General features: G+C 50.4%; 2 protein-coding genes across 10 annotated transcripts in view, besides 4 other annotated features; one reads left to right on the top strand and one right to left on the bottom strand.

Moving 5' to 3' along the window:
* HSPG2 (heparan sulfate proteoglycan 2) overlaps nt 1-3519 on the top strand; it is a 115067-nt gene extending 111548 nt beyond the window's left edge. For all 9 annotated transcript variants that reach the window (NM_005529.7, XM_047419090.1, NM_001291860.2 and 6 more), the window contains 6 exons: nt 984-1059; nt 1148-1226; nt 1387-1457; nt 1559-1642; nt 2044-2147; nt 2275-3519. In NM_005529.7, the coding sequence (NP_005520.4) occupies nt 984-1059; nt 1148-1226; nt 1387-1457; nt 1559-1642; nt 2044-2147; nt 2275-2447 (587 nt within the window). In that variant the 3' untranslated portion in view covers nt 2448-3519. The remainder of the gene's footprint in view (nt 1-983; nt 1060-1147; nt 1227-1386; nt 1458-1558; nt 1643-2043; nt 2148-2274) is intronic.
* LDLRAD2 (low density lipoprotein receptor class A domain containing 2) lies at nt 538-13498 on the bottom strand. Its single transcript, NM_001013693.3, has 5 exons — nt 13227-13498; nt 10940-11365; nt 9689-9820; nt 4152-4313; nt 538-3561 (listed from the first exon to the last, which is right to left on the bottom strand). Exons 1-5 carry the CDS (start codon nt 13309-13311, stop codon nt 3548-3550), a joined length of 819 nt encoding a protein of 272 aa, NP_001013715.2. The 5' UTR covers nt 13312-13498; the 3' UTR covers nt 538-3547.
* Nucleotides 3274-4140: an enhancer, noted in NCBI's record as "H3K4me1 hESC enhancer chr1:22148116-22148982 (GRCh37/hg19 assembly coordinates)". NCBI's record gives its function as "activates a minimal SCP1, AML or CMV promoter by ChIP-STARR-seq in primed H9 embryonic stem cells {active_cell/tissue: H9 hESC(primed)}" and the evidence as "EXISTENCE:reporter gene assay evidence [ECO:0000049][PMID:30033119]".
* Nucleotides 11014-11133: a silencer, noted in NCBI's record as "silent region_390". NCBI's record gives its function as "represses an Ori minimal core promoter by ATAC-STARR-seq in GM12878 lymphoblastoid cells {active_cell/tissue: GM12878}" and the evidence as "EXISTENCE:reporter gene assay evidence [ECO:0000049][PMID:35858748]".
* Nucleotides 13413-13707: an enhancer, noted in NCBI's record as "tiled region #6146; HepG2 Activating non-DNase unmatched - State 20:ReprD". NCBI's record gives its function as "activates a minimal TATA promoter and a strong SV40 promoter by Sharpr-MPRA in HepG2 cells {active_cell/tissue: HepG2}" and the evidence as "EXISTENCE:reporter gene assay evidence [ECO:0000049][PMID:27701403]".
* Nucleotides 14862-15012: a silencer, noted in NCBI's record as "fragment chr1:22137244-22137394 (GRCh37/hg19 assembly coordinates)". NCBI's record gives its function as "represses an EF-1alpha promoter that drives an FKBP-Casp9 reporter gene in an ReSE screen in HepG2 liver carcinoma cells {active_cell/tissue: HepG2}" and the evidence as "EXISTENCE:reporter gene assay evidence [ECO:0000049][PMID:32094911]".

Below are 27790 nucleotides of genomic sequence, written 5' to 3'. Positions count from 1 at the left end.
TCATTCATAGGGTTGTTGTAAGGATTGAGTTAAATGCAGTGGTGTCTGTAGCTGGATGGGACGCTCCCCGCACAGCCACATCATAGGTGTTAGGTAAATGTCAGCCGTTCTCCTCATCATTTGGTGGAGGGTAGCAGAGGGTCCCCTACTCTTGTCCCCTGCCAGAGCTACTGTGGCCAGTGCCGGCCTGTGGGATGGGTCATGAGCAGATAGGGCTGGGGGGGTGTGGAGCCACACACAGTATGGACATCCTGGGCCAGTCACTCGCCCAAGCCTGCCTGCTCTTCTGTAAGATGGAGAGAACACCAAGGCTCTGAACCATTTATTGCCACAGTCCAAGGTGACCAACGGTCCCAGTAGCTCCGGACTGAGGGGTTTCTTGGGATGTGGGACTTTCAGGGCTAAAGCCAGACAGAATTTGGCAAGTAGAATGGCGGGTCACCCGACACGGATCCTGTTGACTACACAAAATAAAATAAAATAAAATACATTGATTTAAGGAAAGCAATTATGCTGAAGTAAAGTAATCAAAACATGTTTTAAGTTTCCTGACTTGCTATATATGTGCTTCTTTATTAACACATCAAATAACAAGATCTGGTGATCTCAGTAGCTACCACAATTTCAAAGCAGCAATATGTGTAAATGATATTTTGAAATATTTGCAGCTACTGTCATGTGATAAGCAAATACTAGTAACAAAGTTGCAGGTCCTACCACTGCTACTTTGGTTTCTTGCCTACATCTCATTGAAAGAACTGCTCAATTTCAGTGAGAAGTGAGTGAAATTGAGGTGTAATGCTTTCCCATCCAAGGTCATAGGCTCCCTGAATTCTGTTGGCAGCCCCCGTGGGTCCCCAGGGACTGCAGGCTCGGAGCCCCCTAGTCCTGCATGTTGGCGTGGAGGTGGGGGTCAGGGGAACTGACGGGGGATTTTGATGCCTGATGCAGCAGGTATGGCACCACCCTCCTCTCTCCCACAGATGCCCCTGGGCAGTACGGAGCCTATTTCCACGATGATGGCTTCCTCGCCTTCCCTGGCCATGTCTTCTCCAGGAGGTGAGACTGGCATTGGAAGGGCCCATGGGCCTAATGGGGAGGATGGGAATCTGGGACTTCTGTCCCCTCACCCGCTCTTCCTCCGCAGCCTGCCCGAGGTGCCCGAGACCATCGAGCTGGAGGTTCGGACCAGCACAGCCAGTGGCCTCCTGCTCTGGCAGGGTGTGGTGAGTGTGGGTATCCGGCTGGGCTCTTGGGGCTCCTGGGGCAGGAAGCTGGCTTCCTGGTGGCCGGAGTGGTGGGGGGAGGGGAAAGCAGAGCCCCCTGGCCTCGGCAGCCTCTGCTCTCCAGGCTGGGGACCCCAGAGACCCTGTGCTTCCCTGGCAGGAGGTGGGAGAGGCCGGCCAAGGCAAGGACTTCATCAGCCTCGGGCTTCAAGACGGGCACCTTGTCTTCAGGTAGGTCCTGGCACCTGGCCCTTCCTCTCCCTTCCCTGGTCCCAGCACCCCACCCCCCGGTCCTGCCCCAGCTCATACTTCTTGGGCCTGGATGACTGCAGGTACCAGCTGGGTAGTGGGGAGGCCCGCCTGGTCTCTGAGGACCCCATCAATGACGGCGAGTGGCACCGGGTGACAGCACTGCGGTAAGGGACCCTGCCGGGCACTCGGGATGGGGCCCAGCGTTCTGGAGTGGGGCAGGACGCCCCCTACCATGGGCAGAGAGGCAGGTATTGAGCTCTGTGGAGACAGAACTTGAAGCCAGGGGAGGGGAGAACCCACCAGCCAGGGCTCGGGCTTCCATCTCGGACTGAACTCCGCTGGGGGCAGGCGAGTGCCCCAGGAGTGGGAGGAAACCTGGGTGCAGAAATGAGGAAGCTGTGTTTGTGGGGCCCGATCTCTCGTTCAGCGGGGGAAAGAAAGAGCTTGGGAAACAGGGACAGACTTCTGAGTCTGGAGTCTCGATATCAGAGGGAGGGGACTCTGTCGTGGGGCCGGGGAGGACCAGGAAGTTTGTGGAAAGGGGCCTGACCCAGTTCCACTGCAGGGAGGGCCGCAGAGGTTCCATCCAAGTCGACGGTGAGGAGCTGGTCAGCGGCCGGTCCCCAGGTCCCAACGTGGCAGTCAACGCCAAGGGCAGCGTCTACATCGGTAAGTCTGGGGCTCCTTCTCAGGGCAGGGGCAGGAACGGCACTCCCTTAGGGCTAGAGCTCGCCCAGCCTTCCTCGCCTCCTGGGCTGCTGGAGCCCACAGGCCCTGTCCTCTCACCTCCCGGCAGGCGGAGCCCCTGACGTGGCCACGCTGACCGGGGGCAGATTCTCCTCAGGCATCACAGGCTGTGTCAAGAACCTGGTGCTGCACTCGGCCCGACCCGGCGCCCCGCCCCCACAGCCCCTGGACCTGCAGCACCGCGCCCAGGCCGGGGCCAACACACGCCCCTGCCCCTCGTAGGCACCTGCCTGCCCCACACGGACTCCCGGGCCACGCCCCAGCCCGACAATGTCGAGTATATTATTATTAATATTATTATGAATTTTTGTAAGAAACCGAGGCGATGCCACGCTTTGCTGCTACCGCCCTGGGCTGGACTGGAGGTGGGCATGCCACCCTCACACACACAGCTGGGCAAAGCCACAAGGCTGGCCAGCAAGGCAGGTTGGATGGGAGTGGGCACCTCAGAAAGTCACCAGGACTTGGGGTCAGGAACAGTGGCTGGGTGGGCCCAGAACTGCCCCCACTGTCCCCCTACCCACCGATGGAGCCCCCAGATAGAGCTGGGTGGCCTGTTTCTGCAGCCCTTGGGCAGTTCTCACTCCTAGGAGAGCCAACCTCGGCTTGTGGGCTGGTGCCCCACAGCTACCTGAGACGGGCATCGCAGGAGTCTCTGCCACCCACTCAGGATTGGGAATTGTCTTTAGTGCCGGCTGTGGAGCAAAAGGCAGCTCACCCCTGGGCAGGCGGTCCCCATCCCCACCAGCTCGTTTTTCAGCACCCCCACCCACCTCCACCCAGCCCCTGGCACCTCCTCTGGCAGACTCCCCCTCCTACCACGTCCTCCTGGCCTGCATTCCCACCCCCTCCTGCCAGCACACAGCCTGGGGTCCCTCCCTCAGGGGCTGTAAGGGAAGGCCCACCCCAACTCTTACCAGGAGCTGCTACAGGCAGAGCCCAGCACTGATAGGGCCCCGCCCACCGGGCCCCGCCCACCCCAGGCCACATCCCCACCCATCTGGAAGTGAAGGCCCAGGGACTCCTCCAACAGACAACGGACGGACGGATGCCGCTGGTGCTCAGGAAGAGCTAGTGCCTTAGGTGGGGGAAGGCAGGACTCACGACTGAGAGAGAGAGGAGGGGGATATGACCACCCTGCCCCATCTGCAGGAGCCTGAAGATCCAGCTCAAGTGCCATCCTGCCAGTGGCCCCCAGACTGTGGGGTTGGGACGCCTGGCCTCTGTGTCCTAGAAGGGACCCTCCTGTGGTCTTTGTCTTGATTTTTCTTAATAAACGGTGCTATCCCCGCCAGGGGCCTCCTGAGTCTTTGATGAGGGCTTCACTCAGTGGAGCCTGTGGATGGGGCAGAGCAGGGCAGGTGAGATCTGGGGGTGAAGCAAGCTGGCTTGGGATCAGCGAGGCCCCCAGGCCCCCAACCCTGTGAGGCAGGAATTGTCCTATTTTCTAGAGGGGCAGCTGAGTCTCAGAGGGTTAGGGGGCCTGTCCAACATCAGACAGAGAGCCAGGGGGTTAGAACCCAAAGAGTCTGACCCCAGAGCCTAGTATCATTCCCATGTGCCCGAAGCCCCTCTAGGGATGGCCTCCCTGATCCTATAAGGCTGGGCCACTCAACTGCAGCCCCCTGGGGAGACCTGGCTGGGACATGGGTAGCACGTGGTACAGGCTGTGCTGCAGTGGAGGCAGAGGCCACGGGCACCAGGTTGCCAGGCCAGCCAGCTGGGAGAGCAACAGCACCAGAGGAGGCCCAGGAGGAGGCCAGCAGAGGCCAGGAGCATCGAGGAGGCCAGCGCCACCCCTCAGAGCTGGGGGCCTGTGGGAAGAGAAAGTCCACTCAGGCCTCGGCCTGGGTCCTCTGCCCCGTCCCCATCACCTAGAGAGGGACAGGTATGATTTTGGTGGGAAGAGTAGGAGCAAGGTGTAACCTTCCAAAGCTGCGTCTTGTCTCGTGGGGTCCCTGCCTGCTGGGGAACTCCTCTCAGCTGCAATCCAGAGGGATCCTGCAGACCCGAGAGCTGGGGAGGGAGTCAGGGATCTGGAGGTATGGGCATCTGTACTTCCTGTCTGGCTGGGCACCGGAGAGGGACCTGCATGGGAAAGAACAGAACTAGCACACTGAGAACTGCCCTTTCTGGGACACTTGTGTGTTTCATTCAATCCTCACAAGACTTCCCTGAGTTTGTCACTCTGTGTTTCCATTTTACAGAGAGGTTGTCACTTGCCGAGTTCAATTAGCTGGAAGTGATAGGAGGACTTGAACTCACATGGTCTGGCTCCAGGGCCTAAGGTCTATGAGTGGAGCTACTTCCCAAGGAAGAGGGTGTACATGTACTGAGCATTGAGGCAGGGTCTCACTCTGTCGCCCAGGCTGGAGTCCAGTGGCGCAATCACCACTCACTGCAACTTCTGCCTCCCAGGCTCAAGTGATCCTCCTACCTCAGCCTCCCGAGTAGCTGGGACTACCAGCACGTGCCACCATGCCTGGCTAATTTTTCTATTTTTTGTAGAGACGGGATCTCACTATGTTGCCCAAGCTGGTCTCGACTCCTGAGCTCAAGCAATCCACCTGCCTCAGCCTCCCAAAATGCTGGGATTCCAGGCGTGAGCCACCATGCCCGGCCATGAGCATTTTCTGTGCATCAAGCACCACACTCTGTGCTGGGCCCGTTACCTATGTATGCCACTCACAGTTTACAACAACTCTGAAGGGTGAGGTTTATCCCCATTTCACAGATAAGGAAACTGAGGCATAGAGGTTCCTTCTTCCATTCATTTGACTAGTATTTCTTGAGCATCTCCTATGCCCCCAGGCATGGCTCTAGCAACTGGGGGATACAACCATGAGCACATGACAAATATGTCTTCATGGCACTGGGAGTTTAGTGTGGGGAGAAACAAAACACATGAATAGAATTTATGTCTAAAGGAGATAGATGCTAGTGAGAAAAATTACGCATGTTGGTGGGGGCAGGGCTGCCGCTTTTCTTTTCTTTTCTTTTTTTTTTTTTTTTTTTGAGACGGAGTCTCGCTCTGTCGCCCAGGCTGGAGTGCAGTGGCAGGATCTCGGCTCACTGCAAGCTCCGCCTTCCGGGTTCACGCCATTCTCCTGCCTCAGCCTCCCGAGTAGCCGGGACTACAGGTGCCCGCCACTGCGCCCAGCTAATTTTTTGTATTTTTAGTAGAGACGGGGTTTCACTGTGGTCTCGATCTCCTGACCTCGTGATCCTCCCGCCTCTGCCTCCCAAAGTGCTGGGATTACAGGCGTGAGCCACCGCGCCCAGCGGGCTGCCGCTTTTCTTACTGTGGCAAAGCACATAACGTTTACCATTTAACCATGGTTAGGGGTACAGTTCAGTGGCATTAAATATATTCTGATAGAGTTTGGATCTGTGTTCCCACCCAAATCTCAGGTCAAATTGTAATTCCCAGTGTTGGAGGTGGGGCCTGGTAGGAAGTGATTAGATCATGGGGGTGGATTTCTCATGAATAGTTTAGCACCATCCGTTTGGTGCTGTTCTCAAGATAGTGAGTTCTCTCAAGATCTGGTTGTTTAAAAGTGTGCAGTGCCTCCCCACTCACTCTCTCTTGCTCCTACTCTGGCTGTGCCTGCTCCCCTCGCCTTCTGCCAAGATTGTAAGTTTCTTGAGGCATCCCCTGAAGCTGAGCAGATGCCAGCATCATGCTTCCTGTATAGCCTGCAGAACTGTGAGATAATTAAACCTCTTTTCTTTATAAAGTACCCAGTCTCAGGTGTTTTTTTATAGCAATGCGAGAATGGACTAATACGCACTCACATTGTGCAGCCATCACCGCCATCCATCTCCAGAACTTTGTATCTGCCCAAACGGAAACTCCATCAACTCCGTCAATTCCATTAACTCCATATCCTCCTTGTCCCCACCCCCCCAGCCCCTAGTGACCATGGCTCTACTTCCTGTCTCTGTGATTTTGACTATTCTAATATACATATGTATATGCTTATAAAGAAAATTTATAATTTTCTTATAAATTTATAAAGAAAGGTAATTTATAAATTTATAAATTTATAAAGGTAATTTATAAAGAAAAGAGGTTTAATTGTCTCAGTTCTGCAGGCTGTACAGGAAGCATATCTAATATACATATTAGAATATAATAATAAGTTACTAATAATAACTTTTTTTTTGAGACAGTTTCGCTCTTGTTGCTCAAGCTGGAGTGCAACCGTGCGATCTCGGCTCACCGCAACCTATGCCTCCCGGGTTCAAGTGATTCTCCTGCCTTAGCCTCCCAAGTAGCTGGGACTACAGGCATATGCCACCACGCCCAGCTAATTTTGTATTTTTAGTACAGATGGGGTTTCTCCATGTTGGTCAGGTTGGTCTCGAACTCCCGACTACAGGTGATCCGCCCACCTCGGCCTCCCAAAGTGCTGGGATTACAGGCGTGAGCCACCGCACCTGGCCAGGGTTGCTATTTTTATATAAAGGAGTCAGGGAAGAACTTAAAGAGACCCACCAGGAAGCAAAGGAACGAGCTTGCAATGCAGATCTCAGAAGAAAAGTCTTCTGGTAGAGGACACAGCTACTGCAAAGGCCAGAACAAAGCTGGAGTGTGGAGGGGAGGCGGGGCCAGGGAGGGGGTGGGGCAGGGAGGAGGCGGGGCCAGGGAGGGGTGGGGCGGGGGGCGGGGCCAGGAAGGAAGAGGCGAGGCCAGGAAAGAAGGGGCAGGGCCAGATCGTGCAGGGCCTTTGAGCCCGGGCGAGGCTTTGCCTTTGCTGAATGTGATGAGGGTTTTGAGCAGGATAGTGACATAACCTGATTTACTGTTTTAAAAGGTACCTCTGGCGGGGAAGCATAACTCCCCACTCAAGTGGGCTATACATAGTGACTTCCCAAGAATACAGTGGGGAAAGATGGGACCAAAAGTAACGGTGGAGAAATGAGGCAGACATCAGCCAGGCGGTCAAGGTCAGCGTCAACCACCGTCCAACACCAAACACCCAACACCAAAGTCATGTTTGGTGTGATGTGATGTGATGAAGATGGCATTTCACCTCTGTGAACTGTAACTCTAGTCTTTTCATGAGAAAAGTATCAAATAAATCCCAATAGTGGGGCATCCTACAAAATCCCTGAGCAGTACTCACAACTGTCAAGATCATTAAAAACAAGGAAATCCTGAGAAACTGCCACAGCCAAGGGGAGCCTAAAGAGGCATGATGACTATTAATGAATGTAACATGAGGCCGGGTGCGGAGGCTCACGCCTGTAATCCCAGCACTTTGGGAGGCCAAGGCGGGTGGATCACTTGAGGTCAGGAGTTTGAGACCAGCCTGTCCAACATGGAGAAATCCCGTCTCTACTAAAAATACAAAAATTAGCTGAGCGTGGTGGTGTGCACCTGTAATCCCAGCACTTTGGGAGGCCAAGGCGGGTGGATCACTTGAGGTCAGGAGTTTGAGACCAGCCTGTCCAACATGGAGAAATCCCGTCTCTACTAAAAATACAAAAATTAGCTGAGCGTGGTGGTGTGCACCTGTAATCCCAGCTACACCGGAGGCTGAGGCAGGAGAATCGCTTGAACCAGGGAGGCAGAGGTTGCAGTGAGCCGAGATCACGCCACTGCAGTCTGTCTAGCCTAGGCGACAGAGCAAGACTCTATCTGAAAAAAAGTAATAAAATAAATAAATAAATAAATGTAACATGAGATGCTGAGTGGGATCCCGGGACAGAAAAAGGACATGAGGTAAAAACTAGGGAAAACTGAACAAACTGTGGACTTTAGTTAATAATATTACTTCATTAATTAAAACAAATGTCTCATACTAATGTAAAATGTCAGTAATAGCACCCAAACTGAGTGCTGGGTATATGAGAATTTTCTGTACTATCTTCTCAATTTTTTTGTAAATCTAAAACTGCCCTAAAAAATGAAGTTCATGCAATCCCAGCACTTTGGGAGGCCAAGGTGGGAAGATCTTGAGTCCAGGAGTTCGAGACTAGCCCTTGCAATACAGTGAGACCTCATCTCTACAGAAAACACAAAAATTAGCTGGGCATGGTGGTGCATGTGTGGTCCCAGCTACTCTGGGGGCTGAGGTGGGAGGATCACCTGAGCCCAGGAAGCAGAGGTTGCAGTGAGCCGAGATGGCGCCACTGCACTCCAGCCTGGATAACAGAATGAGAACCTATCTCAAAACAATAAATAAGTAAGTTCATTTGAAAAAAAGAAAAAGAAAAAGAAGGCTCCCCCAGGCTTCCTTCTTCCTGTGTTGTCAGAGGCAAAGGACAGAAGGAGGGAGACCAGTTCAGAAGTTATTAGAACAACCCAGACGAGAGCTGGTGGTGGCTCAGACCAGGTGATGGCAGAGCAGGTGTGAGAAGGGTCAGAGTCTGGAGAGCTTTCAAAGGACTTGTCACTGGCTTGGTTATGGGTTATAGGCTATGGGTTAAGCGGGGAGTAAAAGATGACTCAGTGAGGCCTGGGCAGCTGGAATGTGAAGTCGCTGCTCAGCGAGAGGGAAGCAGGATGCAGGGAGGGCTGTGGACAAGGAGTCCAGTATGGGGCAAGTTAAGTTTGAGATTTCGCCTATACATCCACGCAGAGATGCTGAGCAGGGAGGAGGTTATGTGGCTGAAGTTCAAAGACAAGTCCCACAGGTGATACGATATAAATGAGACCCACAAGGGAATGAGCCTGGATGGAGGACAAGGGGACATAGGACCTGGGTCTCATGGCACAAAGCATACAGCATCAGGGAAATGACCAGGAACCTGCAAAAAAGGCTGAGCGGGGGATGGGGAAGGTAAGTGTGTGGGGTTCTGGGAAACTGCATTTCACCCCTGTTCAACTGTACATGGCAGCCCTACCTCCATCCCACTCCTAATTGGGTGTGGTGGGCAGGTGGGACATCTTTAGATCCCCAGGAAGGTTATTCCTGGGTGATTTGTTCTGGTCCCTTCCACCAACCCTAGCCCTCCTATCCCACTCCCCTGTCTACAGAGATCATTCCTGCTCATTTTACTCACTGGCTTTATGACCTTGGGCAAGTCACTTCTCTCTAGGCCTCAGTTTCCTGATCTGTAAAGTGTGGGAATCAGACTGGATTGATGGTTTTCAAAGTATGTCTTGAGGGTGACACTCAGGGCCCTCAGAGAGACATCAGGCAGCCAGGGCCCCAGGCCCACCATCCAGTTAAGCAGAGGATATCTCCTTTGAATGTCTTGGGCCTCCATGCCAGGTCCCATTTAGCAAAAGTTTCCACCACTAAAGCATCATTTGGAATCCGCCGGATGAGATCATCTGCAGCATAGTTCTGGCCCTGACTGCTCTGCCCCTCCAGCCCTTGGCCTAAGCCGATTCCACACTTCCGCTTTCCTCTCTCCTGCCTCCCCATCGGGGCCCTGCCCTAGGGAAGGGGAGTTAGGGCCAGGCTTCCCTCCAGCTGTTCAGTAGGGCCCAGTCCACACCCCGCACTGACCTCTGCAGTCAGCTGGTGACCAGGAGCCCTGGTCACTGCCATCGCCACAGTTGTCCATGCCCCAGGGGTCACACACGAGGCTTGAGGGGATGCACCTGCCATTCTGGCAGCGGAAGTAGGCACCACAAGGTCCTGAGGCCAGAAGCAGAAGCCTGAGGTGAGGATTCCGGTCCAGCCCACGACACAGCAGGATGTGTGGCCCCCATGGTGACAGTGTGGGGGTGTGGGCAGGAGAGAGCTGCCCTCATGCATGCAGATGAGAACATGGATGAGTGTTTCATGGGGAGGAGGGTGGAGGATGGCAGCTAACATGTACTGACTTCCTCTTCTGTGCCATGCACAGCCGTAAATACTACACATCCTGGCCCATTGAGGCCTCACAATACCCCTATGGGGCAAGTACTGTTATTAATTTTATTATTTTTTAATTATTATATTTTTTAAATTATTTTTTGTTGTTGTTTTAGGCAGGTCTCTCTCTGTCACCCAGGCTGGTCTTGAATTCCTGAGCTCAAGTGATCCTCATGACTTGGCCTCCCAAAGTGCTGGGATTACAGGCGAAAGCCACGGCGCCCAGTTGGGCGAGTATTATTAATTTCAGTTCCAAGAGGGCCCTTTCCTGGCTTGAGTTGGTTTCTGCTGCCTACAGGCCTGGCGAGTCCTAAGCACACCCTTCTGCAAACATCTGAAGGGCTGACCCAGCGCAGAGCAGCCAGCATGTGGCATGAGAGCATGTGAGCTGTGTGTAAGTGTGCAAGGCGGTACTGTGTGCATATGAGGTGTGTGATGGTGAGTGTGCAGTGTGAGGCGTGTGCTGCAGTGAGAGGCATGAGTGTGGAGTGTGTGGGGGCGATGAGGTGCGTGGGTTGTGCGTATGTGACATGGGTGTGGATGTCAGAGTGTGAGGTGTGAACGTGTGGGAGTTGTGTGTGAATGTGTGTGGGGAGGAAGTTGTGTGTGGATGTGTGTGGATGTGTGTGCGCACTGGGGCTGGTAGGACAGTCTGACGCACACATCCATGGTAGCCAGATTTATATGGTTGGCTCTTAGGATCCGGGAGGTCCCTTATTGTGACTCTGCCACTAGCCACCACCTTCTTCCCTCCCGTTGGACCCAGTCCCTGCCATCTTGTGCTTCGGGCACCCCTGCCATTCCCCTGTCGGCAGCGGCCCTCACCGGGGCCCCCACTGTGGCCCCAGTCCCGCATGGCCTCTGCAGAGGGTCCCGTCCCGGCCTTCAGCCCCAGCTCACCCAGACGGAAAGAGGTGACTTCGCCCACGAAGTCCACGCGGGGCTGGCGGCCTCTCGTGACCAGGCGCAGGCCTAGAAAGGGTCCGGAGGATGCCACAGGCACCGGGATGTTCAGGCCGCACAGTGGGGACCCCAGGGGCCGGGGCGCCCCCGGCGGGCCCTCGTAGAACTGCAGGTAGGAGCCGGGGGCGCACGGGTCGGCCGGGGCCGGGGAGGAGGTGTTGAGCGCCGGGGGCGCGGGGGTCAGGCTGTAGACCAGGAAGAAGCGGAACTGGAAGCGGATCCGGTCGCCGGGGGCTGCCGCCTGCACCCAGAGCCCGCAGTCGGTGTCCGGAGCCACGAAGTAGAACCTGCGCGATGCGGCGTGCGAGCGCAGCAGCAGCCCGTCCCCCTGCCACGTCTGCCCGCACAGTTCCGCCAGGTCGGCTGCAGCGGAAGGCACGGAAACTGGAGCCGCGCGGCGCGACCCCGAACTCTACTCTGTCCCCTGCCCGCTGTGTGATCCCAAGCGAGTTACTCGCCCTCTCTGAGCCTCATTTTCCTCATCGGTAAAATGGGGATGATTAATCAATCTCAGAATGATTGTAAGGATTAAATGATTTAATTTAATTTAATTCAAATCTACAATCCCTTATTCGAAACCCTAAGATGCGGGGCCGAGCGCAGTGGCTCACGCCTGTAATCCCAGCACTTTGGAGGCCAAGGCAGGTGGATCACCTGAGGTCAGGAGTTCGAGACCAGCCTGGCCAACATGGTGAAACCCCATCTCTACTAAAATACAAAAAATTAGCCGGGCATGGTGGTGCGCACCTGTAATCCCAACTAATCGAGAGGCTGAGGATGAGAATCGCGTGAACTCTGGAGGCGGAGGTTGCAGTGAGCTGAGATCAAGCCACTGCACTCCAGCCTGGGTAACACAGCGAGACTCCGTCACCAAAAAAAAAAAAGGGGAGGGGGAGAGCTGTGTGATAAGGAGCCCCTTTTCTTCCTGCTTTTGAAAGCTGCTGACTGAGGATGAGGATGGGATGTCCAGAGCTGCAGCAGCCATTTTGCAAAGATGAGGTCAGAGCATTTCAGAGGAACAGTGACATTGTTGAGCCGTTGAGTTAACCATCTCTGGAATCACCTATGACCACTCTTAACTGAAATAGCAAATATCCTACCATTTAAGCCCCATTTAGTTTGTTATCTGTTACTTACAGCCCAAAACATCCTCACTGGTACAGGGTTGTTGTGAGGATTAAATGAGAAGATGTGCAAGTACTCAAAGTAGCCCTGATTTCTGTAAGCACAGAGAGGAAAGAGGAGGTGGGTTTTCTGGTGCAAGATAGGGACCAGTGGGTACTTGAGGACCAGCCAGGATGTGGGTCTTTGAGGAAAAAATCCTTCATCAGAGCTCAGGATGTGGGAGCACTTTCCAATATTTGGTATTTCTCTGCTAAAGCCAGAGCCTACCCTGAAGGTACACAGGGCAGGCATGGAGTTTAGAGAGTAAGGGAATTGGGCACCCTTTTTTTTTTTTATTTCTTTGAGACGGAGTCTCTCTCTGTTGCCAGGCTGGAGTGCAGTGGCGCAATCTCGGCTCACTGCAGCCTCCGACTCCCTGGTTCAAGCGATTCTCCTGCCTCAGCCTCCCAAGTAGCTGGGATTACAGGCACATGCCACCATGCCCAGCTAATTTTTGTATTTTTAGTAGAGATGTGGTTTCACCATGTTGGCCAGGATGGTCTTGATCTCGTGACCTCATGATCCGCCCGCCTCGGCATCACAGAGTGCTGGGATTACAGGCGTGAGCCACTGCGCCCAGCCGGGAATTTGGCACCTTTTATGTGCCAGGTATTATGAAGTGCCTTGCATGACTTATCTCATCTTATATGCCAATAATCATAGTCCCTTAAGGGGCAAGGGCCTATTATTTTCATTTTACTGCCAAAGAAATTCAGAGAGTTGAAACAATGATCTCAAAGGTACAAACATAAGAAGTGGCAGAGTGTGTAAATGCAGCTTCTCTGAATCCGAAGCCTACAGAGTTTTGCAAAGCAGGCCCTGAGGGCTGTCCTGCCCACTCCCAGACTCCTGCTTCTAGGTGACTGGCAGATCCAAGCCTTCCAGAAGGCTTTGGGTTGGATTTGGGGATGCCAAGCAAGACCAGACACAGTTTCCCAGCCTCCCCCAGCTCAAAAGGTCTCAGCCCAGCAGGATGAGTGCTGACTGGGGAAACATAGTCTCTAAGGATGGTGGGGGCCCAAGTCTTCTGGGTGCCCCAACCAAGCCCCCTGATACTTACCTGTCTCCAAAGCAGTTGCAGTCAGGGCGGCTGCCCCCAGCAAGAGCAACCTTTGGGGCAACTGCAGAAGACAACAAGCCTCCATCCAGGCTCTGCTGTGCCCAGCAATGGGGCAGACCCACAGAATCTTCAGCTTGGGGTCTCTGGGGAGACTGGAGTATGGGGCCTGGTCAGGCCAGCAGGGAGGCTGGTGGGACACAAGGAGAAGGGGGAGGCAAGTCTTCACTATGATCTTAGTGCTTTGCCTTCCAGATCCTCTTCATTTGGTTCAGAACTGTGTCCAGGGGTTGCCATGGAGATTTGGAGCAAGGGCTAGAGCCTGGGGAGAGGAGGCAGGGAGGAGATCTGCTCCCCTTCTGCCAGACAGGAACCAGGAAACTCAGATCCGGTTCAGCCATAGGGCTTCTGGGAGGAGGACCCACAGGAAGCCAGATCTGCTACCTTCCTAGATCAGCTGGCCCCTTAGGGACTGAGCTTGAGGGAGGTCCAGGACACCAAAGGAGCCTCTCTGAGGGCCTAGAGAGCAGCAGGCAGAGAAGGAGCACTGGACCAGGAGTCTGCTGTATTACTAACAAGCCATTCCTGCCTCAGGGCCTTTGCACTCATAGATCCCTCTGTCTGGAGTGTTGTCCCCCCATAGCAGTGCACGGCTGACTTCTTCAGGTCATCAGGTTGTGGCTCACATGTTACCTCCACAGACCACACTCTCCTGACCACCTCTCCAACTAAATTAACACTCTCTCTCTTTGTCACTCAATCACATCTCAAATGTATCATCCCAGCACTGTCTGGAATTATTTTGCCTATTCATTTCTTCTTGTATATATTGTCCACTGGCCTCCACTAAAATTATATTCCATGAGTATCTTGTTTACCTCTGAACCCTTATGTCATAGCACAGTCACTGGCACAAGGCAGGCGCCCAGGAAATAATGAAAGAATAAGTGTGTGGCATTGAACAAATGACCCCTTTTTCTGGATTTTACTTTCCCATGTGTAAAATAAATACCCTGGACTAATTCAGACTTTTTCAAAACGTGTTATTAGTAGAACAATTTTTTTTCAAAAGGTATGTTACAAGGAACCTTTATCTATAAAACTGAAGCTTTTCAAGCCCTGGCATCCTTCTCTGGAAAATGGGATAATGATTAATTCCAACCACATAGTTGCATTGTAAGAATTAAGTAACTTGGCCTGGCTTGGTGGCTCATGCCTGTAATCCCAGCACTTTGGGAGGCAGAGGTGGGTGGATCACAAGGTCAGGAGTTCAAGGCCAGCCTGGCCAACATAGTGAAACCCCATCTCTACTAAAAATACAAAAAAAATTAGCCGGGCATGGTGGTGCATTCCTGTAGTCCCAGCTACTCAGGAGGCTGAGGCAGGAGAATCGCTTGAATCCGGGAGGTGGAGGTTGCAGTGAGCTGAGATTGTGCCACTGCACTCCAGCTTGAGCAACAGAGTGAGACTTCATCTCAAAAAAAAAAAAAAAAAAAGAATTAAGTAACTTAATACAAGTGGGGTACTTGGAATAGTGTCTATCATGTAGTAAAGTAACCAATGTATTTCAGCTTGAATGATGATCATTAATGTCATCGTTATTATTTAAGCAGATGTTTCAAGTGTGGGGGAGGGGAGGAGCTAAGCAGCCCAAATTGGCAGTGCCTGAGACACCACCTCAAAATCCCAGGAATCCATGAGAAGGTTAAGACCTCTGGACCTGGCCGGGCACAGTGGCTCACACCTGTAATCCCATCACGTTGGGAGGCCAAGGCAGGCGATCACCTGAGGTTGGGAATTCGAGAGCAGCCTGGCCAGCATGGTGAAACCCCATCTCTACTATAAATACAAATATTAGCCGGGCGTTGTGGCACAGAGGCTGAGGCACAATAATCGCTTGAACCCGGGAGGCGGAGATTGCAGTGAGCCGAGATTGCACCACTGCACTCCAACCTGGGCGATAAAATAAAAAAAAAAAAAAACCCAAAACAAACACCTCTGGACCTATTATTCCCTAACAGCTCTCCCTCCTGGAGCGGTCATTTGATGCAACCTTGATTTCCTACAGTGTATGATGTCCAAATCTGTACCTTGGGGAACTCCAAAAAGACTCAAATCTTCCCTCAGCAAGAATGAATTTATCATGAAGCCCACTGAAGCTTAAACTTCAGAACTCATCACCTGCATGGGATTATATGGTTTTTGTTTTGTTTTGTTTTTGTTTTTGTTTTTGTTTTGAGACTGAGTCTTGCTCTGTCGCCCAGGCTGCAGTGCAGTGGCGCAATCTTGGTTTGTTGCAAGCTCCGCCTCCCGGGTTCACGCCATTCTCCTGCCTCAGCCTCCCAAGTAGCTGGGATTACAGGCACCCGCCATCACGCCCGGCTAATTTTTTGTATTTTTAGTACAGATGGGGTTTCACCGTGTTAGCCAGACTGGTCTTGATCTCCTGACCTTGTGATCCACCCACCTCAGCCTCCCAAAGTGCTAGGATTACAGGCGTGAGCCACCGCGCCCGACCTTTTGTTTGTTTTTTTTTTTTTTTGAGATGGAGTCTCACTCTGTTGCCCAGGCTGGAGTGCAGTGGCATGATCTCAGCTAACTGCAACCTCCCAGGCTGGAGTGCAGTGGCATGATATCAGCTCACTGCAACCTCTGCTTCCCGGGTTCAAGAGATTCTCCTGCCTCAGCTTCCCGAGTAGCTGGAACTACAGGTGTGTGCCACCACACCCAGCTAATTTTTTATTTTTAGTAGAGATGGGGGTTTCACCATGTTGGTCAGGCTGGTCTCGAACTCCTGACCTCAGGTGATCCGCCCACCTCGGCGTCCCAGAGTGCTGGGATTACCGGAGTGAGCCACCGCGCCCGGCCGGGATTATATGTCTTCATAAAATTTGCAAAAGTAAGAATGGTTATAAACTTTCAGTTTTGCAAGATGAAAATGTTTTAGAGATCTGTTGCACAGTACTGTGAAAATACTTAACACTACTGAACTGTACACTTAGAATGGCTAAGACTGGCCAGGTGCAAGGCTCACACCTTTAATCTCAACACTTTGGGAGCCTGAGGTGAGAGGATCGCTTGAAACCAGGAGTTCAAGACCAACCTGGGCCTGTAATCCCAGCACTTTGCCTGAGGTCAGGAGTTCGACAGCAGCCTGGCCAACATGGTGAAGCCCAATCTCTACAAAAAAATACAAAAAATTAGCCAGGCGTGGTGGCACACACCTGTAATCCCAGCTACTCGGCAGGCTGAGGCAGGAGAATCTCTTGAACCCAGGAGGCAGAAGTTGCAGTGAGCCGAGATCGAGCCACTGCACTCCAGCCTGGGCGACAGAGTGAGACTCCGCCTCAAAAACAAAAACAAAAAAGACCAACCTGGCAACATAGCGAAACCCTGTCTCTACAAAAAATTAAAGTTAAAATTAAAAAATTAGGTGGTGCCTACACTCTTAGCTATACTACAGCTACTCAGGAGGCTAAGGCAGAAGGATCACTTGAGCCCAGAAGCTTGAGGTTACAGTGAGCTATGATCATGACACTGCACTCCAGCCTAGGCAACAGAGCCGATCCATCTCAGAAAAAAATGGTTAAGATAGTAAGCTCTGTTATGTATTTTCTTGCCATAATTTTTTAAAATTTTGCAAACATGAGGGGTACATGTTCTCAGGACCTCTTGATACTGTGCCTCAAGCCAAATAAAATTTTTAAAAAATACAAATAGGGTTGGGAGTGGTGGCTTACGCCTGTAATCCCAGGACTTTGGGAGGCCAAGGTGAGTGGATCACCTGAGATCAGGAATTCAAAACCAGCCTGGCCAAACTGGTGAAAACCTATCTCTACTAAAAATACAAAAATTAGCTGGGCGTGGCCAGGCGCGGTGGCTCACGCCTGTAATCCCAGAACTTTGGGAAGCCGAGGCAGGTGGATTGCCTGAGGTCAGGAGTTCAAGACCAGCCTGACCAATATGGTGAAACCTCATCTCTACTAAAAATACAAAAATTAGCCGGGCGTGGTGGTGGGCGCCTGTAATCCCAGATACTCGGGAGGCTGAGGCAGCAGAATTGCTTGAACCCGGGAGGCGGAGGTTGCAGTAAACTGAGACTGAGCCATTGCACTCCCACCTGGGTGATATAGCGAGACTCTGTCTCAAAAACAATTAATTAATTAAATAAAAAATTAAAAAAATAAAAATAGGCCATGTGCAGTGGCTCACCCCTGTAACCCCTGTAACACCCTGTAAACCCAGCACTTTGGGAGGCCAAGACAGGCAGACCACCTGAGGTCAGGAGTTTGAGGCCAGCCTGGCCAACATGGTAAAACCCCATCTCTACTAAAAATACAAAAATTAGCAGGTGTGGTGGTATGTGCCTGGATTCCCAGCTACCTGGGAAGCTGAGGCAGGAGAATTGCTTGAATCCAGGAGGCGGAGGTTGCAGTGAGCTGAGGTTGTGCCATTGCACTCCAGCCTGGGCGACAGAGTGAGACTGTCTCAAAAAAGTAAAAATAAATAAATTAAAATAAAAATTTTGCAAACATAAGATATTTTAACCACAGTTAGTTCAGACTTTTTTCTCTTTCCACTCCCAACCTCTCCTTCATCACACCTCGCTTCATATCAGGTGGCCACAGGTGTTTTGAAATCTGGCTAGGGAGAGGCTGATTTGGGTTTAGGGCTGGGGGTGAGTATATTTATGGGATTCTGGCCCCTTGCGGGTATAGTTATATTACTCCTAGGTGCCCCAGATGGCATTCAGGAATATTCCTAATGCCATTGTTCTGTCTCCCTGAGTGTTGTGATCTGAAGGTGCTGACTCAGAGAATATATGATGCCCAGCCCCAGGAGTACAAGGGCATTGTAAAAGAAATAAAATTTGAAATGCACGAAGTCAGAAATAGTGTGTGGAAAATCCTTCCAAATACACAGCTCACATGAGTAAGATATTTTATAGCAGTTGCTCCAAATTTAACAACAATCATTGAGTTAAATAATCTTACCAACAATGAATTACAAAACTGAAGGAAAAAAATTCCTAAACTATCACTAATAAAAAACTAATTTTGGGCTGGGCACAGTGGCTCACGCCTGTAATCCCAGTACTATGAGAGGCCGAGGCGGGCGGATCACGAGGTCAGGAGATCGAGATCATCCTGGCTAACACGGTGAAACCCTGTCTCCACTAAAAATAAAAAAAATTCTCCAGGTGTGGTGGCGGGCGCCTGTAGTCCCAGCTACTCAGAAGGCTGAGGCAGGAGAATGGCGTGAGCCTGGGAGGCAGAACTTGCAGTGAGCCAAGATCGCGCCACTGCACTCCAGCCTGGGCGACAGAGCGAGACTCCGTCTCAAAAAACAAAAAAAAACAAAAACAAAAACACACAAAAAAACTAATTTTGATCAATCATGGCAGAGGAAAGACTGAATTATCTTTCCAGTCCTGCTATAAAAATATCCTGGCCAGGCGCGGTGGCTAACACCTATAATCCCAGCACTTTGGGAGGCCAAGGCGAGCGGATCACGAGGTCAGGAGTTTGAAACCAGCCTGGCCAACACGATGAAACCCTGTCTCTACTAAAAATACAAAAAAAATATCTGGGTGTGGTGGCAGGTGCCTGTAATCCCAGCAACTCGGGAAGCTGAGGCAGGAGAATCGTTTGAACCCAGGAGACGGAAGCTGCAGTGAGCCGAGATCACGCCATTGCACTCCAGCCTGAGCAACAGGGCAAGACTCGCTCTCAAAAACAAAAACAAAAACAATCCTACTGCCCAGGCACAGTGGTTCATGCTTGTAATCCCAGCACTTTGGGAGGTGGAAGTGGGAGGATCGCTTGAGGCTGGGAGTTCGGGACCAACCTGGGCAACAGAGTGACCAAACCCCATCTCTACAAAAAACATAAAAATTAACCAAGCGTGGTGGTATGCATCTGTAGTCCCAGCTCCTTGGGAGGCTGCAGCAGGAAGGTTGCTTGAGCCCAGGAGCTCAAGGCTGCAGTGAGCTATGATCGTTCCACTGCACTCCACCCTGGGCAACAGAGCAAGACTCCATCTAGCAAAAAAAAAAATAGAGAAAATACCATACAGTTGCTGTCACATAAAGAATCAAAAAGTGTGCAGCCAAAAAAAAAAAGTAAGCAAAAAAGGCCAGGTGCTGAGGCTCACACCTGCAATCTCAGTGCTTTGGGAAGTTGAGGTGGGAGGATTGCTTGCGCCCAGGAGTTTGAGCTCAGTCTGGGTAGCATTGTGAGACCCTGTCTCTATTTAAAAAAAAAAAAAAGTATTATAGAAGAATGTTAAGCAGTTAATAAAAGTTTGTTATTATTTTGGATTTTATTTTTTGTCTTATTTGTCCGTTTTTTACATTTCAAAACTTGTTGGGATTTTTTCTCATTCTAAATAAATATTCACTTTCAAACCAGGTTTTTGTTTTTTTTTTTTTTGAGATGGAATCTCGCTCTGTTGCCCAGGCTGGAGTGTAGTGGCACAATCTCGGCTCACTGCAGCCTCTGCCTCCCAGGTTCAACGAATTTTCCTGTCTCAGCCTCCCAAGTAGCTGGGACTACAGGTGCACATCACCACACCCAGTTAATTTTTGTATTTTTTGTAGAGACGGGGTTTCACCATATTGGCCAGGCTGGTCTCGAACTCCTGACCTCAGGTGATCCACCCGTCTCAGCCTCCCAAAGTGTTGGGATTACAGGCATGAGCCAGCACATCTGGCCTCAAACCTGATTTTGTGTTAATAATTTCATATTTTAAAGAGGGCCCCCAAATTGTTTCTGCTTCAGGACCCACAAAATGTGGCCCTCCAGGACCTCAGAGACTGGTAGGGGCTTCAGATTAAACAAACAAACAAAAAACAAATCAATAAATAAATTGCAACCCTAACTATAACAGGAATGTGACATACCTCAGGAAGTCAGGAGAAGCTTCCCAGAGGAGATTTTTGAGTTGGGCCATGAAGGATGCATATGAGTTTCCGTGCAGAAACTACGCTAAATGCATTCCAAGCAGAGGACCCAGTATGTGTCATGGTCACAGAGGAGCTCATTCTGGGAACAGGTTGGTATGGCTAAACCCTGCTGCACAGAAAAGTGATAGAAACGACAACAATATTAACGACAATAGGCCAAGTGAGCCAAGATCATGCCACTGTACTCCAGCCTGGGCAATAGAGGGAGACTTTGTCTCAAAAACAAAACAAGGCCGGGCGCGGTGGCTCACACCTATAATCCCAGCACTTTGGGAGGCCGAGGCGGGTGGATCACGAGGTCAGGAGTTCAAGACCAGCCTGGCCAAGATGGTGAAACCCCGTCTCTACTAAAAATACAAAAATTAGCCAGGTGTGGTGGTGGTTGCCTTTAATCCCAGCTACTCGGGAGGCTGAGGCAGAGAATTGCTTGAACCCGGGAGGTGGAGGTTGCAGTGAGCTGAGATCACACCACTCTACCCCAACCTGGGCAACAGAGTGAGACTCTGTCTCAAAAACAAAAACAAAAACAATACTAGTAACTTCCTGGCCCCTTGATCAGCCTCTGTGCTGAAATATTCCTACCTTTAATGACTAGGGACAAACACCTCGTACATCCTTTCGTATTTCTAGAGACTACTTCTGTTTTTTTTTTTGGTTTTGTTTTGTTTTGTTTTGTTTTTGAGATGGAGTCTCACTCTGTTAACCAGGCTGTAGTGCAGTGGTGCGATCTTAGCTCACTACAACCTCTGCCTCCCAAGATTGGCTGATCTTCCCACCTCAGCCTCCCAAGTAGCTGGAATTACAGGCATGTGCCACCTCACTCAGCCAGAGACTACTTCTTGAGTGATTACAGCATGCCAAGCACTGGCTTTAAGTTTGTCATATGCTCTATCACACATAATCTTCACAATATGTCTCAATGACCCTGCAAAGAGGGCATTCTTTTGGAAACCTCATTTAAATGATAAGAAATCTGAGGTAAGGGGGTAGAGTCTTCCCCTGAGCCACACTTCCCAGCCGTATGACCCTTAGGCAAGTGACCTGATCGCTCTGTGCCTCAGGTTTTTAATCTACAAAATGGAGACAATACTGAAGTATCTTACTGGGAAGATTAAAATGGAAAAAAATACGTATGCATTCATTTTTCAAATTTTACTAACCTCTGTTTTAAGCACTGAAGAAATTTCAGGGAACAAAATAAACAAAATTTCTGGGCCAGACATTGCGGCTCATGTCTATAATCCCAGCACTTTGGAAGGGCAAGGTAGGAGGACTGCTTAAACTCAGAAGTTCAAGGCTGCAGTGAGCTATGATTGTGCCACTGAACTCCAGCCTGAGTGACAGAGCGAGACCTTGAAAAAAATAAAATAAAATTTTTCTAATGTTTTAGAACTTACATTCCAGTGGAGGATAAATGAGTAAGATGTTTGATATATGGAATAGTAATAAATACAAAGGAGAAAATACACAAAGCATGGTTGGCAGGCATGTCAGAGGGGTGTTGACATTTTGATAGGATAGCCAGGGAATGTCACACTGAGAGGGGCCTTTTGAGTAGAGACCAGAAAGAAGCCAGGGGACCAGTCATGCAGTTATTTGGAGAAAGAACATTCTAGGCAGAGGCAATAGCAAGTGCAAAGGCCCTGAGGCAGGAATGTGCCTGGCACAAGCAATACATGCGGAACGAAGGCAGAGATGCAAAGAGTGATAAAAGATGAGTCAGATAATGTCAAGCCCTAGAGGTCATTGTAAAGACTTTGGCTTTTTCCGCTGGGCGCGAGGGCTCATGCTTGTAATCCCAGCACTTTGGGAGGCCAAGGCGGGTGGATCACGAGGTCAGGAGATCGAGACCATCCTGGCTAACATGGTGAAACCCCGTCTCTACTAAAAAAATACTAAAAATTAGCCAGGCATGGTGGCGGGCACCTGTAGTTCCAGCTACTTGGGAGGCTGAGGCAGGAGAATGGCGTGAACCTGGGAGGCGGAGCTTGCACTGAGCCGAGATCGCGCCACTGCACTCAAGCCTGGGCAACAGAGCAAGACTCCGTCTCAAAAAAAGAAAAAAAAGATTGCTTTCATGTATTGGCATATATACGTGTGTGTGTGTGTGTGTGTGTGTGTGTGTGTGTGTGTGTGTGTGTGTATTTTTTTTTTTTTAGACAGAGTCTTACTCTGCTGCCCGGGCTGGAGTGCAGTGGCACGATCTCGGCTCACTGCAACCTCCACCTCCCAGGTTCAAGCAATTCTCCCTCAGGCTCCCAAGTAGCTGGGATTACAATCATGCACCACAATGCCCAGCTAATTTTTTTTTTGTATTTTTAGTAGAGACGGAGTTTCACCATGTTGGTCAGCTCTTTATATGGTTTTTGAGACAGGGTCTTGCTCTGTTGCCCAGGCTACATTGCTGTGACGCGATTACAGCTCACTGCAGCCTCTACTTCCTGGGTTCAGGTGATCCTCCCACCTCAGCCTCTCAAGTAACTGGGACAACAGGCATGCACCACCATACCCGGCTAATTTTTTTGTATTTTTTGTAGAGATGGGGTTTCGCCACGTTGCCCAGGCTGGCCTTGAACTCCTAGGCTCAAGCGATCCTCCCAGTTTGGCCTCCCAAAGTGCTGGGATTATAGGCTTTAGGCACCTTGCCCGGACGGCTAATTTAAGCTGATTTATTCTTCACAGTAGTGCCATAAAGTGGGTACTCTTATCATCTCCATTTTGCAGAGGAAGAAGCTGAGGCACAAAGATGTTAAATGCAGAAATATTATGTAAGTAGGAAATGGGGAAGCAACAGTGTTCCAGGCAGAAGGAGAATCACACACAAAGCCTAGAAGGCCGGGGACAGCCTGCCTTTGCTGGCTTTTATGCAGCAACCGGAGAAAGTACCTTCTTCTGGCTACACTGGGCTCATATCCCACACACGCCAATCAAGTGTTAAGCTTCAGCCACAGTGGAAGGGACACAGCCAGGATTTGAACTCAGAGGCCATCTCACTTCCAAATCCATGACAACCATGTCAAGTAAGTTTTCTCAATATTGAGTCACGTGGGGAGAGAGTTCTTCCCTTTCTGTTACCCATATTTTTCTGGTTTTTTGGGTTTTTTGAGACAGAGTCTCACTCTGTCACCCAGGCTGGAGTGCAGTGGCATGATCTTGGCTCACTGCAGCCTCCGCCTCCCAGGTTCAAGCAATTCTGCCTCCTCCGCCTCCCGAGTAGCTGCGATTGCAGGCGTGCGCCACCATGCCCTGCTATTTTTGTGTTTTTAGTAGAGATGGGGTTTCACCATGTTGGCCAGGCTGGTCTCAAACTCCTGGCTTCAAATGATCCGCCAGTCTTGGCCTCCCAAAGTGCTGGGATTACAGGTGTATGGCCACTACATGACGGCCATATACTGACAGAGGTTGTTAATCCCCTCACAATACATAATTCAAGGATGAAATAATGAGATCACAGACATTTTTACTAGATTAGAAAAAGAAGGCATCATTAGGCAAACCTACGTCCCTACAAGTCACTAGTGTGGCCAGAAGGAAAATGAAAATTGACAACAGACAACAAAAAATACAAATATAACGTGCAAAATAAAATAAATGTACAAAAAATGTAGTGAGCTCTTATCTAACACATTAGAAATCACAGAAAGGGGTCAGGTGCTGTAGCTTATGCACATAATCCCAGCACTTTGGGAGGCCAAGGCAGGAGGATCACTTGAGTTCCAGTTTGAGACCAGTCTAGGCAACATGGTGAGACCCTGTCTCTACCAAAAAGGCTGGGTGCGGTGGCTCACGCCTGTAATCCCAGCACTTTGGGAGGCCGAGGCGGGCGGATCACCTGAGGTCAGGAGTTCGAGACAGGCCTGACCAACACGGTGAAACTCCGTCTCTACTAAAAATACACAAATTAGCCAGGCATGGTGGCACACGCCTGTAATCCTAGCTACTTGGGAGGCTGAGGCAGGAGAATCTCTTGAACCCAAGAGGCAGAGGTTGCAATGAGTCAAGATCGCAGCACTGCACTCCAGCCTGGGTGACAGATCGAGACTCTGTCTCAAGAAAAGAAAAAGAAAAAGCTTCTACAATTAATGAGATTATTTGGCTATTAGAGAAAACTTATACTAAGCTGAATATTGTTTTACAATGTATCAAGTCACCAGGAAAAAAATCCACAAATTTCCTTGAGGATCAGATATCCTTCAATGAACTGAATTGGGTAGCAAGACATTTTACCCTGAGCACCTATACTAATAATGTAAACAAAGATTTCAATGACTCATGAACATGCTGATTGGTCACTCTGAGTCAGATTTTGAAGGTTAGGCATGGGATCATTTCTTTGTCAGTCTACTGGACACAGAAATTTCTGATACAGAAAACTAGCCCCTGGCCATGTGTGGTGGCTCACACCTGTAATCCCAGCATTTTGGGAGGGCGAGGCAGGCGGATCACTTGAGGTCAAGAGTTCGACAACGGCCTGGCCAACATGGTGAAACGCCGTCTCTATTAAAGATACAAAAATTAGCTGGGCATGGTGGCAGTTGCCTGTAATCCAAGCTACTTAGGAGGCTGAGGCAGGAGAATCACTTGAACCGGGGAGGTGGAGGTTGCAGTGAGCCAAGACCACACCATTGCACTCCAGCCTGGGCAATAAGAGCAGAAATAAATAAATAAATAAATAAATAAAACTAGCCCCACAGAGAAAAAGGGCACTGGTGACATCCTTGCATTACAGGATGCAGAGGAACTATTGGTAGCCCCAAAATAAGAACAAAGCTACTCATCCTAACATGAGCTAGACTCAGTTCTGATCAGACAAAGGGAGTAGCCCAAGTATTACCCACCTAGAATGGAAATGGAACATAATGGAAAGGACAATGCAGGGTCCCAATGATACATCAAAGGTGCATGAGAGGCCAGGTGCGATGGCTCAGTTCTGTAATCCCAGCACTTTGAGATACTGAGGTGGGTGGATTGCTTGAACTCAGGAGTTTGAGACTAGCCTGGGCAACGTGGTGAAAACTCATCTCTACAAAAAAAGAAAAAAATTAGTCCAGGCGCAGTGGCTCACGCTTGTAATTCTAGCACTTTGGGAGGCCGAAGTGGGCAGATCACGAGGTCAGGAGATCGAGACCATCCTGGCTAACACGGTGAAACCCTATCTCTACTAAAAATACAAAAAATTAGCCGGGCGTGGTGGCAGACGCCTGTAGTCCCAGCTATTCAGGAGGCTGAGGCAGGAGAATGGCGTGAACCTGGGAGGCGGAGCTGGTAGGGAGCCGAGATCACACCACTGCACTCCAGTCTGGGCAACAGAGCGAGACTCCGTCTGAAAAAAGAAAAAAGAAAAAAATTAGCCAGGTGTGGTGGCATGCACCTGTAGTCCTAGCTACTCAAGAGGCTGAGGTGGGAGGATTGCTTGAGCCTGGGAGGCAGAGGTTGCAGTGAGCCGAGATTGCGCCATTGCACTTACACCTGGGGGACAGAGCCAGCAGACCCTGTCTCAAAAAAAAAAAAAAAAAAAAAGTGCATGAGGAGGTAGTGTCTTAGCTGTTGCTAGACTTGCTCTGTGAGCAGAGAGAATAGGAAACACCTTGACCACCACCCCTAGAGACAGCAGCTTCCTCCTGTCTGAGCTGGCACTGGGGCACAGGTGATGTGCGTGGTTCGTGGATGTGAATGCCTCACTCATACCACAGGAATCAAGCAGAAAGCAGCAGCAGCCCTAAATTCATCACAGGTGACACCCTGGCAGGTGGAGGGCCAGAAAAGTCATCCCAGTATAATGAATTACAATCAATGAGGCTGGTCACGGTGGCTCACACGTGTAATCCCAGCACTTTGGGAGGCAGAGGTGGGCAGATCACCTGAGGTCAGGAGTTCAAGACCCGCCTGGCCAACAAGGTGAAACCACTTCTCTACTAAAAATACAAAAATTAGATGGGTGTAGTGGCGGGCACCTGTAATCCCAGCTACTCAGGAGGCCAAGGCAGGAAAATCGCCTGAGCCTGGGAGGCAGAGGTTGCAATGAGCCGAGATCATGCCACTGCACTCCAGCCTGAGCAACAGAGGGAGACTCCGTCTCAAAAAAATATATTAAAAAAAAAAACAATGCAATTGCCGATAAGTCATAACTTACAGAAGGAACATCCCAGTCTGATCCATGGGTGGTAGCTAAGGGCCTGATAATTTGGTGCTCAAAGTGGAAAATAATTGTCTAACAAACATTCAGTATGGAGAAAACCGGTAGGGGAGTATATACATCCAATTACACAGTCTCACATTCAAGAGACCATGTTTCAGACCCAGAAAAGTAAAACTTTCTGAAGCAAAATAAAATTAGAAGGTAGATAAATTGGCAGGGCTCGGTGGCTCATGCCTGTAATCCCAGCAGTTTGGAAGACCAAGGTGGGTGGATCACCTGAGGTCAGGAGTTCGAGACCAGCCTGACCAACATAGTGAAACCCCATCTCTACTAAAAATGCAAAAATTAGCCAGGCGTGGTGGCAGGCGCCTGTAATCCCAGCTACTTGGGGGTCTGAGTCAGGAGAATTGCTTAAAGCCAGGAGGCAGAGGTTGCAGTGAGCCAAGATCACACCATTGCACTCCAGCCTGGGCAACGAGAGTGAAACTCCTTTTCAAAAAAAAAAAAAAAAAGAAGAAGAAAAGAAAAGAAAAAGGAAGTAGATAAATTAACCAGAAGTATAACATCAAAAATGTTCAATTGGCCAGGCGCAGTGGCTCACGCCTGTAATCCCAACACTTTGGGAGGAGGAGGCAGGTGGACCACTTGAGGTCAGGAGTTTGAAACCAGCCTGGCCAACATGGCAAAACCTCGTCTCTACTAAAAATACAAAAATTAGCCAGGCATGGTGGCACGTGCCTGTATTCTCAGCTACTTGGGAGGCTGAGGCATGAGAATCCTTTGAACCTGGGAGGCAGAGGTTGCAGTGAGCTGAGATGGTGCCACTGCACTCCAGCCTGGGCAACAGAGTGAGACTCCATCTCAAAACAAAAAAAAAGAGAGCAATGGTCCAGTTTCACATGAAAGGAAAGAAAGTGGGTCGGGCGCAGTGGCTCACACCTGTAATCCTAACACTTTGGGCGGCCAAGGCAGGTGGATCACTTGATTTCAGGAGTTCAAGACCAGCCTGAGCAACATGGAGAAACTCTGTCTCTATAAATAATACGAAAATAGGGCCGGGTGTGGTGGCTCACACCTGTAATCCCAGCACTTTGGGAGGCTGAGGCAGGTGGATCACGAGGTCAGGAGTTCAAGACCATCCTGGCTAACACAGTGAAACCCCGTCTCTACTAAAAATAAAAAAAAAATTAGACGGGTGTGGTGGTGGGCACCTGTAGTCCCAGGTACTCGGGAGGCTGAGGCAGGAGAATGGCATGAACCCAGAAGTGGAGGGTGCAGTGAGGTGAGATCACACCACTGCACTCCAGCCTGTGGGACAGAGTGAGACTCTGTCTCAAAAAAAAAAAAAACCAAAACCAAAACCAAAAATTACCCAGGTGTGATCGTGCACATCTGTAGTCCCAGCTACTCAGGAGGCTGAGGCCAGAGGATCCCTTGAGCCCAGGAGGTTGAGACTACTGTGAG

This window comes from Homo sapiens, chromosome 1 (genome assembly GCF_000001405.40).
Source record: "Homo sapiens chromosome 1, GRCh38.p14 Primary Assembly".
Taxonomy (NCBI): domain Eukaryota; kingdom Metazoa; phylum Chordata; class Mammalia; order Primates; family Hominidae; genus Homo; species Homo sapiens.
This window is presented reverse-complemented; position numbering and strand designations above follow the sequence as displayed.

Excerpts from the sequence above, each read along its gene's own strand:
- LDLRAD2 (NM_001013693.3), bottom strand. The coding sequence starts at position 13,311 with ATGGAGGCTTGTTGTCTTCTGCAGTTGCCCCAAAGGTTGCTCTTGCTG. Across the intron at positions 11,366-13,226 it reads TGCAACTGCTTTGGAGACAG|CCGACCTGGCGGAACTGTGC; the intron begins GTAAGTATCAGG and ends CTTCCGCTGCAG. Across the intron at positions 4,314-9,688 it reads GTCACCAGCTGACTGCAGAG|GTCCCTCTCCGGTGCCCAGC; the intron begins GTCAGTGCGGGG and ends TTTCCCATGCAG.